This window comes from Homo sapiens, chromosome X (genome assembly GCF_000001405.40).
Source record: "Homo sapiens chromosome X, GRCh38.p14 Primary Assembly".
In the NCBI taxonomy this organism is placed as follows: Eukaryota; Metazoa; Chordata; class Mammalia; order Primates; family Hominidae; genus Homo; species Homo sapiens.
In genome coordinates, this window is record NC_000023.11 from 38,099,610 (window position 1) to 38,113,344 (window position 13,735).

General features: G+C 38.2%; 1 protein-coding gene across 28 annotated transcripts in view, besides 2 other annotated features; it reads left to right on the forward strand.

Annotated features, from left to right (window-relative positions):
- The window catches only part of SYTL5 (synaptotagmin like 5), a 239,906-nt gene that overhangs the window by 210,695 nt on the left and 15,476 nt on the right, over positions 1 to 13,735 (forward strand). For 17 of the 28 annotated variants that reach the window (XM_047442658.1, XM_047442654.1, XM_047442663.1 and 14 more), the window contains 4 exons: positions 2,733 to 2,825; positions 6,984 to 7,162; positions 8,991 to 9,090; positions 10,712 to 10,873. In XM_047442658.1, the coding sequence (XP_047298614.1) occupies positions 2,733 to 2,825; positions 6,984 to 7,162; positions 8,991 to 9,090; positions 10,712 to 10,873 (534 nt within the window). Of the gene's footprint in view, positions 1 to 2,732; positions 2,826 to 3,416; positions 3,483 to 6,983; positions 7,163 to 8,990; positions 9,091 to 10,711; positions 10,874 to 13,735 lie in introns of all 28 variants that reach the window. The other 11 variants (XM_017029972.1, XM_011544001.3, XM_017029974.2 and 8 more) reach the window with 2 other exon arrangements.
- Positions 4,574 to 4,743: a silencer, noted in NCBI's record as "silent region_20734". NCBI's record gives its function as "represses an Ori minimal core promoter by ATAC-STARR-seq in GM12878 lymphoblastoid cells {active_cell/tissue: GM12878}" and the evidence as "EXISTENCE:reporter gene assay evidence [ECO:0000049][PMID:35858748]".
- Positions 4,854 to 4,923: an enhancer, noted in NCBI's record as "active region_29521". NCBI's record gives its function as "activates an Ori minimal core promoter by ATAC-STARR-seq in GM12878 lymphoblastoid cells {active_cell/tissue: GM12878}" and the evidence as "EXISTENCE:reporter gene assay evidence [ECO:0000049][PMID:35858748]".

Below are 13,735 nucleotides of genomic sequence, written 5' to 3' on the forward strand. Positions count from 1 at the left end.
CACTATATGGAGTAGAATTGGTAAGAGTGGGCATACTGTATTGTTTCTGATCTTAGAGGAAATGGTTTTAGCTTTTCAATGTTGGGTATAATGTTAGCTAAGAGCTTCTCATGTATGGTTTTATGTTGAGGTAAATTTTTTCTTTATCTCATTTGTTGAGTTTTTAGTATGAAAAGATGTTGATTTTGTCAAGTGCCTTTTCTGCATCTATTGAGATGATCATATGGGTTTTATCCTTCATTCTGCTAATGCAGTTTATCACAACTATTGATTTGTTTATGTTAAACCATCCTTGCATTCCAAGGATAAATCCCACTTAGGTTGAATGAGCTTCTTCATGTGCTGTTGAATTCAGTTTGCTAGCATTTTGATGAGGACTTTTGCATCTATGGTTTATCATGGATATTGGCCTGCAATTTTCCCTTTTTTTGGTAGTATCCTTGTCTGACTTTGCTATCAGAGTAATGCTGGCTTCATAAAATTAGTTTGGAAGTGTTCCCTCCTCTTCAATTTTTGGAAGAATTTGACAGGAATTGGCATTAATTCTTCCTCAGATGTTCAGAAGAATTCATCCATGAAGCCAGCACTTTCTTACAAGATGCTATTCTACAAGATATTCCAGCTCATCTTGTGGGCTCATCAGTGAGAAAAAGGCAGCTACAATAAGTTCTCATTTAACATCATCAACAGATTCTTGGAAACTGCCACTTTCAGCAAAATGACATATAACAAAACCATTTTTTTCCTCATCAATGTTTTAATGAAATGACATTATTTGAGGACCTGCTGCACATCCTTTCACTTAAAATTACAGTTTTCAAGAACCTATGGATGACGTTAAGTGACAACTTACCATAAACCAATATAAAAATAAGCAAATTTTGAACAAGTATTTCACAAAACAGGAAATCCAGTTGGCTGATTATCACAAAATGGTATTCAACTTAGTAATAAGAGAAATGAAAATTAAAATCATGAAGACTGTAAACATCTACTGGATTGGCAAAAATGAAAAAAATATCTAACAATACCATCTGTTTGCAGGCAAGGAAGTGGAGCAAAGGGAACTCTCATATACTACTGGTTAGACTGTAAATTGGTGTAACTACTTCTGAAAATTTGACATTATCTTTAAAATGATATAGATAAGCACGTGGAGATATGTTCACCCCTTGACTTGACAATTCCTCTCACTGGTATATATTCAAGTGTGTGAACATATATACTGTGTTGTGTGTATACTGTGGTGTGTGTATATGCGCCAGGATACATATTCACAGAATATACATATCAGTGTTGGTCACAATAGAAAAAAATCTGAAAATAACCCAAATATTCAGCAACAAGAGAATGGATAAAGTTTTGGATATCATACAATGGAATATTAAATGACAATATAAATGAACAGGCTACAAAAATATGCCACAATTTTGATGAATTTTAAGGCAATATTAAGCAAAAAAAGCAAAACTCAAAGGAATATATAGCATTTAATTACATTTACACAAAGTACAAAAACAGGCAAAACGAAATCATTTTGTTTCAGAGTATACGCTTATGCAGTTAAACTATAAATAAAAGCAAGAATGTGGTTAACCATAAGAGTTAAAATATTAATTATTCCCGAGGGGAGAAGGGGCTTGTGATATGGACAGGATACACAGGGAGCTTCTGCTTCATCATTTGATTTTGTTATTATACTATATATCTATGTTTTATGTACTTTTTAATATGCTGTATCTTATAATAAAGACTTTTTTAAAGCAAGCCCAGAAGTGTACATCATAATCCTGATTTATAAAACTATAGTTAAAAAAATTCCCATGAATGTATACTTATACTCAGATTTGTGTATGTTTTTATATGATTTTTCACATAAACAAGGAGAAAGACATGGAATGTAACATGTGCAGCAGGATGCTAAATATTAATTTCACCTGGTGTGAAAGGAGGGGAAGGAGGAGAGGAGAAGCAAAAAAGAAAAGTGCCCATAATAAAAAGCAGTATGCATGATACAATCTATCTATGTGTATATATGTATGTGTGTGTGTGTATATATGTATGTGTGTGTGTATATATATATGTGATGATATAATCAAAAATATTGAAATTTGATCATTAATATGTTAATGAGAGACCTAAGTTTTTAGTTTCCATTTATCTATATTGCTTGAAATAATTTTACTAGGAAAATACATCACTTAAATAACTAGGCAAAAAAAAAAAAAGCCATTTTATCATGAAGGAGAAAAAGAAATGGGAAAGGAAAAGTAGAATCTGGGATTGGAGATGAGAGTCCAGTATCTAGTTCATCCTAGTGGAGAGATTTTTGAGATATGCTTTACCATCTTGGCAGTGTGTGTGTGTGTGTTTGCACACACACACAAATTTTTTTTAATTTTAAAGTAACGTAAGTACATTGCCCAACATGAATCACCTTAGAGGTAGGAATTGAACCCAGGTCTGTATGATTCCAAATTTCATGTTCTTTCAATAAAGTAAGCACCATTAGAAAGGAGACCTCACTCTCCACCCCCTATCCCTGCCCACTTCTCCGATGGTATAATTCAGATTGACCGGAGAGGAAAAGAGAAAAACCTAGGAATGGAGTGATTTCTAGAAATTTTTTATCTGATTCTCAAATATTTATGAAAGAAAGTGGTTTCTCAAGTGAAAAAACATTCTAGAAAAACAAATCAACCAACCCACTGATTTTTCCCTTTCTTTTTTAGGACTCCTTGGAAGAGACTGAAGAAAGCATTGATGCCTTAGTGTCCTCGCAGTTATCTACAAACACTCACCGTCTGGCAAGTGGCCTATCAACTGTAAGCAGTTCACTAGGACATGTGGAAAGTTTCTTTTCCCTCTTTTTGATTTTCTGTGCATTTCCAAAGGAGATATGAATGTTCTTAGGAAAATGTGTGATAATGAGTTAAAAGTCATTGTAAGATCCTGCTTGCCCTTTGCCCACAGAGTACATTTCAGTCTAATTTGGTGTGGGTTTTTTCTCAGGCTCCTGATTTCTTCCTTCTTCCACAGTCCTCACCCAGGTTTTAAAATCTCCTCACTCCCTAGTTCAGGCTCAGTCAGCTCAAGCCTATAAATTATTTTTCAATTATCTGCTGACACATTTCCCTGACACCATTCTCTAAACTTCCCAGCTGTCCTCCAGACTGCTGCCAGTCATTTATCCTAAAACACATGCCCAATCAGGTCTGTCTTCTACTCAAAACCCATCCATAGCTTCCCACTGCCTACAAAATAAAGTCCTTTCTTACTTTAGTGTTCAAGGCCTTTTTTGAGAGGAAGGCCCTGTGTCCTTGTATCTAACTGTGTGTAAGTCTTTTTCTTGGCTTCTCTGATTTCTGTTGCTCTGATGCTTTTTTTCTTTTGATCTTTGGATGACTTCTCTAAAGAGTTCTCAAGCAGGTTCTGACAGGAAGTGGACCTACCTAAATGTGCCTGATGCTGACTCAGACACTGTGAGTTTTCAACCTTTCCTTTTTGTTCTTTCCAACCATACTTCACAAATTTCATGGTCTGGGAACTATGATTAAGCAATTTGTCCCACATTTATCTTTTTCCGACTTATATACAATTAACCAGAGGTTATCTTCTAAAAGATTGATGAGATGATCAGAAACCAAGTATTCCAATTCATTAAACATTGGAATCTGAACACCACTCAAAAGACACATGCTCTAAAATGATTAACTATCAACAAAACCTTTGAAGTAAACAACTATTTTAAATCACAGCCTTAGCTTGGTTAAGAGCATATAGTTTAGTTAGTAGTAAAATTGCCATAGGTGTCTTAGTTTCTCACAAGCCTCCGTATTTGTGGGTTCCTAAATTTCCTTCTATCCGTAGGGGCCCTCTGCTTACAGAGGATTTTCTTTGAAAATGTGGCTACAGAGATCTAGTATAGACACAAATCAGTGATATAAGGAGGTAATCAGGTATGGTGGGGTAGTCCTCAGACTAGAAACTTGGAGATCTTGCTTTATTTCTTGGCCATACCAACAATTTTTGTGAGCCAGAATTTTCTCATTTGTAACATGAGTAGGTTGGGGTTTATTCTTGAAACCTTTGATACTCAAAGCATTCTCTATGGACCAGCAACATTGCATCTCTCGGAACAGATACCCCAAAACTTTCTCAGTTCAAAAAGCCCCTAATGTCTCAGTAATTCTTTCCTGGCACTCCTACACTAAAAGTAGCACCTGACTAGTCCATTCATTAAGTAGTTAGAACCAAATAATGTAATAAGCAGTGTATCCTAACAACTTACTAGCCATTTGTAAAAAAATGCTACAAGTGAAAGAAATTGAAAGAAAAATAGTATTTTTATTTCATCCTTAAATAGCACCTATTACTTACCACTAATAGGATATGTGTGCCTATTGAGCACTACACAGTTACCAAATCTTGGAATCTGATTGGACATCACTACTTTCATTTCCCATTTCACATTGATTTTTATGCAATACTTGCTTTTTGTTGCAGCAACTGCCAAAAACTCAGCTTCAGACAAATAGGAGTTCATTGAAAAGAATAAAGTGTGGTTTAAAGTTGACACTGTGAATTACTAGTTAGTGGCTTACATGGTGTCTGATAGGTGTTGTTGTGTTTCCCTTGAGAATTTAAAATATTTCTGTGATTCCCCTGTGAGTTTGCTGTGGTGCTCTGTGGTACCTCGATACACAGTTTCGGAACTGCAGGCCTAGGAGTTTGTTAGAACAGCCAAATCTCAGACCTCACCCCAGACTGAGGAGATAAGCGTTTTCAGTTTAAAAAGGTATCTGGGTGCTGCTCAAAGCCACCTGCTAAACATGAAAATTCTGTTGCTTTGTTTTAGGAATAAGAAAGACAGATTAGGTCACTCACTGGCTTTCTTTAAGCTGTAATTTCCAAATAATTATGGAATTATTGGTCTGCTCTTGCCCGTGAAGAAGCTTAGAAGACATGTGACCACATCACCCACATCCTGTTCTTTGGTCAGTCTCTACTTCCAGAAATTGGTGGAACATAATGGCTTTTACCAAAAGCAAATTATGAAAAAGAAGACAGTCTAAGGTCCCTGTGTATTTACCATAGTCTTGACTTCCCAGTGGTTCACAGAAAAGTGGTTTTGAAACTATTGGGTCATCCACGAAAGACCTCCAGGTGGTCTTTTGTGACAGTTACTGAGATACATAGTTTTCATTTCTAGTGCCAAAGGATAATTTTATTACATTTACAGTAGTCACCTTTATCCACAGAGGATACATTCCACCTACCCCAGTGGATGCCTAAAACCTCGCGTAGTACCAAACCCTAGCCAAGAAACACCAAGGTCACATTTTCACTTAAAGAAAGCACTTTTGGCTTCTCTTTGACATATGTAAATTACTACCATCATTACTCTTACACTGTGGAGTCATTATTAAGTAAAATAAGAATGAGTTGAACACAAGCTCTGTGATAGCAGGACAGTCAATCTGATAACTGAGACAGCTAAGTGACTAATGGGCAAGTAGCATCTGCAGTGTGGCTCCTACAGTGTGTCCAACTGGACAAAGGGAGGCTTCACATCCAGGGTGGGATGGAGCAGTATGATGTGAGAGTTCATCATGCTACTTGTGAACCCCAAAACTCTGAGGCATGTCTCAGTTAATTTAGAAAGTTTATTTTGCCACGGTTGAGGACCGGCACCCCTGACACAGCCTCAGGAAGTCCTGCCAACGTGTGCCCAAGGTGCTCAGAGCGCAGTTTTGTTTTATACATTTTAGGGAGACATAAGACATCAATCAACATATGTAAGATGAACACTGGTTGGGTCTGGAAAGGCGTGACAACACGAAGTGGGGAGGGAGCTTCCAGGTCATAGGTAGATAAGAGACAAATGGTTGCATTCTTTTGAGTTTCTGAGTAGCCTCTCCAAAGGAGGCAGTTAGATATGCACTTATCTCAGTGAGCAGGGGGATGACTTTGAGTAGTATGGGAGGCAGGTTTGCTCTAAGAAGTTCCCAGCTTGACTTTTTCCTTTAGCTTTCTGATTTTGGGTGCCCAAGATATTTTCCTTTCACATACTCAAAACAGCATACAATTTAAAACTTATGAATTTTTTGTTTCTGGAGTTTTCCATTTAATATTTTTGAACCGCAGTTGACCATGGGTAGCTGAAACTACAGAAAGTGAAACTGTGGATAAGGGGGACTACTATAAATTAAAAGCTGTCTCATGTCATTAGTGTCTTGTCAAAAGCCTCATTCATTCTGGTAGATTTGGACTTTTTTAAAATTTATTTTCCTGATTGGTTGGTGTGTGATTTTATTGTGTAGTAGTTTATTTTGTGGGCTGCTACTTTATACAGATTTACAAAGCCATGGTCATATACTACTCATGTAGCCACACAGCTAGCTACTCAGTTGAGGGAAATCATGGAAGCTGTGGGTATGTGATGTTCTTCTGATATGTCCTTGTTAAAGCTGTAGTTATGGCTCCCCGGAGACTGATGGGATGCTCCATGTAGGTGTCAAAGAAAGCAGTATGTGGCTCCTGCTAGCACAGAATATGAGATAAGCTACCCTTTGTCCCAATCAATGTATTCTACACCTTATAGTAGATTGAACTTGAGTCTAACAGTGAAAATGGAGAAAGCTGCAGAGATAGACGAGAAGTGAGATTTGAAATGCCTCAATTACCCTGTATTCATTAGTAGAAGTGAGTAAGCAAAGGGTATTCTCTAACCCAAGAAGGAAATGCTTCCCCTCTAAGCAAATTTTCTGCCTTTTTTCCTGATGGTACTAGATCTGCTGTCTTTTCTCCAGCTGGGATTTTATACAACACCAGCCAAACAAGTGACTCTTGTTTTCTTTCCTCACCCTAGACTTCCATGCTCATTATAAAGAACAGGAACTATAATTGAATGAAATGAGTTGATTCTGTGAAGAGATCATTAGAATGACACTAGAAGCCTTTTTCCATCTTGTTTATTCCAGACCAGCCTTAACAGCATGATGAGCGTTTACAGTGAAACGGGAGACTATGGCAACGTGAAAGTCAGTGGTGAAATCCTTCTCCATATCAGCTACTGCTACAAAACTGGTGGGCTGTACATTTTTGTCAAGAATTGCAGAAATCTGGCCATAGGAGATGAAAAGAAACAGAGGACAGATGCGTAAGCACATAGCATGTTCCTCAGACTATTTCAGTCACTGCCTTTTTTGTCTGTATGTGTGTTTCCTTTTCAAAAGAGTCTTAGCATTCTTCTTGATTCAGTCTTCTCAGAGAGTTGATTGTCATGTTCCTCCTATACCACACTTTTAAATATTCTCTGAAGCAAATGTATACTGGTTGTGTCTTTGATTAACTGATTTTTAAAACATAATTCAGGATTGACATATTTGCAATTTACACAGAGGCAGCTCTTTGAAGTAGAATGCTGACATGTTGGCACACCCAGGATGTACAAAAGCATCTTGTCGATTTCTGTTCTGGGAAATCCTCCAGAGAAAATTACCAAACTGTTACCCAATTAAACAACTCAAAAGGGCAATTATGAGGCTCTCAGGATTCTAGAGATCAGCCTGGGAGGGCAGGTATGGACCATAGCACACTGGAGAGAAGCTAGATATAAAGGTGTGTCAGGGGTTCTCAAGACCACTGCCAGGTTCAGTGATTCACTAGGAGGACTTAGGACTCTGCACGCAGTTATAATCAGCAAAGAGGCACATGGGGCAAAGTCCAGGAGAGATCAGGCTCAAGCTTTGCAAGGGTCCTTTCCCAGTGGAGTCACATAGGATGCATTTAATTCCTCTGGCGATGAGTTCTGACAACATCTGTGAAATGTTGTCTGCCAAGGAAGCGTGTTAGAAACTCAGCTGGTCACATACCAAATTTCCAGTCTCTCAGGAGAAAAAGAACCCGTTCAGCATAAGCCATATTGTTTGTACAAACAATTTAGGAACAACGAGCCACTTTTATCAGTTCTGGGAATGGTGGGAATCCTGAAATCCAAGTTGCCAGATGCCACCCAAGGGCCAAATTTGTAAGCAGGCATTTAGAAGAATGGTAGTCTCAGGCCCACTATGTTAACTCTTTTCTGCACAATAGATGACCTAAGTCCAATAAATAACTCAGTGAACCTGGTTCCAAATCCCCTAAGATAGACAAATGAGTGGATTTTGACTACAGATTGGTCCACCTGCCTCCTCAGCTACATTTCAGAGGGCTACAGGACCAATGTAATTATTTTGACTGGCATGGAAAGGGGTCTTCTAAAACTCAACAGATATTCTGTAGAACTTTGGTAGCATCTTATACATTTCAGCTTTGTACACATCTTGTACATTTCTGAGTCTGCTGTGATACCCTGCTTCAAGAGGCTCCTGAGATAGCTCAAGCTAAAGTGTTGGGTAGAATTGCTATCACTACTTCAGGTTGTTATTTTTTATTTTGCCTTTTTCACTGTTTTCTTTTACTCACCCATTACCATTGACCCCACTCTCTGACATCAGAAGGCAAGACTAGTAATAGAGAAGCATCTAATCCCAGAAAAATTTGTGAGACCATTAATATTAATAGTGTATTACATGTATTGAGTAGTACAATATGGTAGCTCCTTGGATGTGTCAACTAATTTAATCCTCACAAGGCCATCAGTTAGACAGTGTTATTTTCCCAGTTTTACAGATGAAGAAACTGAGGCACAGAGTGGTTATTTAGTAAATTCTTGAGGTCACCAAATCTCTGAGGCATGGAGTGATTCAAAACCAGGTGGCTTGACTTCAGAACCCACACTCTTTTATCATTATACTTTACCACTTCTCTCTTACGGAAGGCCCAGTGTTCTATTTTAAGGTATCCTGTTATATAGACAAAATTCTCTTTGGTATTTCCGCTCATGCTCACTGGCCCTTTGCCCCTTTTATTCACAGCGAAGTCTTTGAACATTTCTTGCAAATAGATGTTTCACAATAATTACATTTATATTTTCTTATCTATAGTTATGTCAAGTCATATCTTCTTCCTGACAAGTCCCGGAACAACAAGCGTAAGACCAAAATCAGAACAGGCACCAATCCAGAATTCAATGAAACACTAAAGGTAAATAAATACGGTCTCATAGTAACTCATGTGGTACTGTTCACAACTTCAATGGTTTAGAAGTAACTACAGAGAATATTTTATTTGTGTGTCAAGGCTTGTATATGTTTTAGAAAATTAGAATTTGAATAAATTAACATAATAACCTTGACTTTTCTAACATCTTTTGAGAAAAAGAAAACACTCTTACTCTATTTAAGTCTACGCTGCTACTGAATTTGAACCTTGAGTAGAGAGGATCCAGCCAAACTGCATCGGTGCTGATGCTTCTTGCTAAAAAATCGGTTTTACCTTTGGGCAAACAGTGCTTTTTCTGACTTCCGTAAAAGAAGCTTGTCACAGTTTTGACACTACTTAATGAGTCACTTTGCACGCATTCATTGTTCTGCTAACATAGCATAGGTCTATACTGTTTGTTGTTAGGATTTCAGAATTTGACCAAATGTAGGTATGTGGTTAATGAATAGTGGAAATGCAGAGCCAGATTTGAGAAATCTCAGCAAAAGTAGCCTAGATAAAATATGGCCCAATCCAGGTCAATGATCCAGAAAATAGAAATCTCTTTCCAATGCGCTTTCACATAATTAACCCCTTCTCTTGCTATGGAACAATCTGGCCTGGTAAGAAACACCCAGGGAGGATGGAAAGCAGAAGTTATTGCCAATTCTATGGAAATTTATGGGCTTGTGCCCCAGAGTGATGGTGTCAGAGTCCACTTTAGGAGGAAATTGGTAAAGGCAGAAAGCCACAAGCCTGCATGTGTCAGTGGGAGCGTGTGTGGAAGCAGGAACTAATATTAAGACAGAACAAACTGAAAAATGAATAAATACAGGTAGAGAGTAAATTCAATGGCCATAACAGGATAGGAAAGATGAGCCCAAACACAGTGAGAGGGTAAATTTAGGAAGCAGGGAGCCAAGGTTAATTATGACAGTAACAGCAAAGACAAGAATAGGCACTAATCCAAGATCAGGAATCAGTCAGTGTGAAGTGTGTCCCAGATGGTGGTTGCATAGAACAAGCAGAAGGCTGGAGGGTGTGTGAGCATGTGGCCCTGGATGATGTTGTTACAAAAAACAAAAAAAATGCTAGCCCAGCAATATCTTCTTTCTGTTTAATATACATGTACACCTTTTCACCTCTGCACTTAGGCTGGACTTTATAAAATTTGGTGTTTGCGAGTTTCTCATTGTCAATCCTTTTCTGGATTTGGGGATTCTCATTATGAATAAAATAAGAGAGAAGGTGGAGAATGTATATATTAAACCTTGAGCTTACAAAGTAGGTATGAAAAAATAATTAAGGAAAATGAAAAACCAATAAAACTGGAAAGAGGATAAGCTTCATCACCTAACACTTTTTATGCAGTATATGGAGTTTATCTCTACCTCAGATAATTTGTTTATATATCTTTCAATGCAAAGTCTGGCACAAAATGAGTTTATGGCATAGAACTTCAATTGTAGCAGAAACAAAGAAAAACAAAGAGTTTTCTTTGTGTTTGTTTTGTTCATATTACTGATGCATATGATCTGAAAGATGTTGGAAGTAAATTTCGACCTCTCCTGGAATTGGATAGAGCCCTCCTTGTGGAGTGTAATGTTGTAAATCTCATTCGCAGTACACTATCAGCCATACCCAGCTGGAAACAAGAACTCTGCAGCTCTCAGTCTGGCACTATGATCGATTTGGACGTAATAGCTTCCTCGGGGAAGTAGAGATTCCTTTTGACTCATGGAACTTTGAAAATCCAACTGATGAGTGGTTTGTGCTTCAACCCAAGGTAGGAAATGCTCTCAGATTAGTCAGTTATGCAATGAGACAAGTTATGAGCGAAATTGATGTCACAGACCTAAAGAACTTGAAGACTTTCAAATTTCAAGTGATAATCTGCAAAAAATTAGTGCAGCAAATTTTGGAATAATATTATAAAAATGTTGTAAATCCACCGTTTTGGAAATTCTTTGTCAATATAGATCATCTGTATAATGAAAGCTACATAATCATTTTTTTGTTAAAAATTTTTATTATTTGACAGTCTCATTGGATAACTGAAAGCAACACATTATATGATCTTATTAGAGAGTCTTCATTTTCACATAGGCGAAACCAAATTCATACAGCATGAACAATCCCCAAACATTACCTTTATTTCTCATTCTCCACAATTTATACCACAAACAGGAGTGATCTTGCCTTTGCTTATATGAGGGAATAACCAGTAGCTAAAGTATCTGATTTTCTTACTTTCCTACTTTTGGGATTCATGACCCAGGCCTTGAGTTACATTCAGAAAAAAAATCTTAGAGCTGATAATTAAATGCCAATACTGTATAGCATGTTCTAATCTAGACCAACAGTACCTTGGATTCACTTTAAGTGACTGGAGTCTCTATGCATTTACAGTACTTTTTAAGCCAAAATGGAGGTGAGTAAAGGTCACATTTATGCAGCCAAAGATTATTGTTTATATACAGAAAGGCAAAAGCACATTATGATGAAGACAGTGGACTCAAATCAAACTTACTTGGTTCTATCCTGGCTTCATGACTGCCCATGTGACCTTGGGCAAATTATTTAACTTTTTATTCCTTAGTGTCCTCAGTTATAATATAATCGTGGGATGTAGCTTATAGGTCTGCGGTGAAGCTTGAATAAACATTCTACGCATGGCCGTCAGCATTTTATTGGGAACATTGTAAGCTCTCAATAAGTGCTAGATAGTATACGTGTTACTTGGGAGTCCTTGTACTGCAACAGACAGAAACTCCAGCTAATACTGCTCAAAAAATAGAGGGAGATTATTGGCCAGCAGTGATTAGGCATAGCTTGATCCAGATGTTCAAATCTTATCAAAGTCTTGGAATTTCTTGGTCTCTCTTCTTATCTTCATTGGCTTCATTTTCAGGTTCCATGCAGTGTTGCCCTCCCTGACTAGCTCCAAGCATGCCTCTCTAATGACTACAGTGGCTGCAAGCCTTTCATCTTTGCACCACACTGTTCAGAAGAGGAGAGTTCCTCCTCCTCCAACAGCCAAATCAGTGCATTGGGCCTGGTTCTCCTAATTATAATTCTGTCATTTGCCTATTCTAAGCTATTGACTGTGGCCAGGGAGGTGAGATGCATTAGCTGGCTTAAGACAATCAGAATATACCCTGGTTCTGAAGAAGGGAACAATAGCATCCTTCCAGTAAATTTCCTGGAAATAGTTGAAGGACTTTGCTGGAATGATATCTAAGCTCCCCTAGACCTCTCCTAGGCATCCTTTGTGCTTAGAAATCAACATTTTCCACAGTAATCACTTCCACATTGTCAATGAGTGGTTCACAGTCTATCATAAGAGGGAAGCATCTCTAAGTCTTTCTGAGTCTACTGAAGGTAGAAAAGTTCTGATTGCATTCACTGTGGAATACCATGGGTCCTCTGCCAGATACCCTTAGGTTCCTAACCATGTCTTTTAGGAGATTTGCCACAACAGCCTCCACCTGAGACTCTCTTTAGAAGACTTCCCTCGGGCTACTGTAGCTTTTTGCCTATGTAAGCAGAGAGCCAGAAGTCCTGGGAATTTTTATACCCGCTGCCACAAGACAACCCTTCATCAATAACTGATAGGTGGGGGAGTATGAAGGCCCACTTCCTTACTGAAGGTGGGAAAAACTCCAAAGTGTTACATATACTACCACATCAGGTGGAAGCTATCTTCCATGGAATTATGCCCAAGATTAGACTTGTCCCTATAGACTTGCTTCCCATACCTCTTTACTGGTCTCTCTGAGAGAACTTCCTTAATAAATCACTTCATAAGAATCTTCACCTTAGAGTCTATTTCTGAAGAACCCAACAGAAGTTAGTGTCTCTAATCTCTGCCATCTTCCTCTGCCCAGCTTCCTCTGTTCTATATAGAAGAAAAGCTGAAGACACAAACGTGCTTAGATATCATGTCTTCCATAAATGGGGAGGACAGGCATAAAGGCATGCTCTATCATGCTCTATATGCTGCCTTGTGCTTCATTAGTGGCTCATCCCCAGGCTGAGCTGGGCTCTGTGTGGTTGATTATCAGCCAGCTATGTGAAGTGGCACTTCAGTTTCAGTTTCCTGCCTCGGTCATTTCCATGCAATTGTCACTCCAGCAGCTGCAGATGTAGTATGAGCAGCCTTGGAGACTTGACGTTTCTCATAGATTATGCAGTCGAGAAGGTGAAACATGAGTTACACATACTGATTTCCCTAGTAATAGGGGATCAGAATTAATAATCCTTAATAATTTAGAAATACTGACATACTTCTGCACTAGGAGTTCCAGAACGGCATGGTGCCTTATTGCTTATTGACTCTATTAGTGAAGGTTCCTCAATATTTATCTTTGTATGGGTTAGATCCTACAGTGCTAAGCCAGTGAGGAGGCTGGTGCAGAGAAAGAACTCAAGATGCCAAACATACTGTAGTTTCACAGTATAACTTCCATTTTACTTCATGGCATGGGATTATTTATTAGCTGTAAAGCCTTCTGAAAGGCATGTCAGGTAGTTAGACAAGGTTTTATCAGTATGAATTGCCTTTCATGCCTTCCCAGAGTGTACTATTATAAAAACAAGGACATCTGAAAATCAACAGCAAGCTTACGTGGTTTTCCAAGGAAACGTT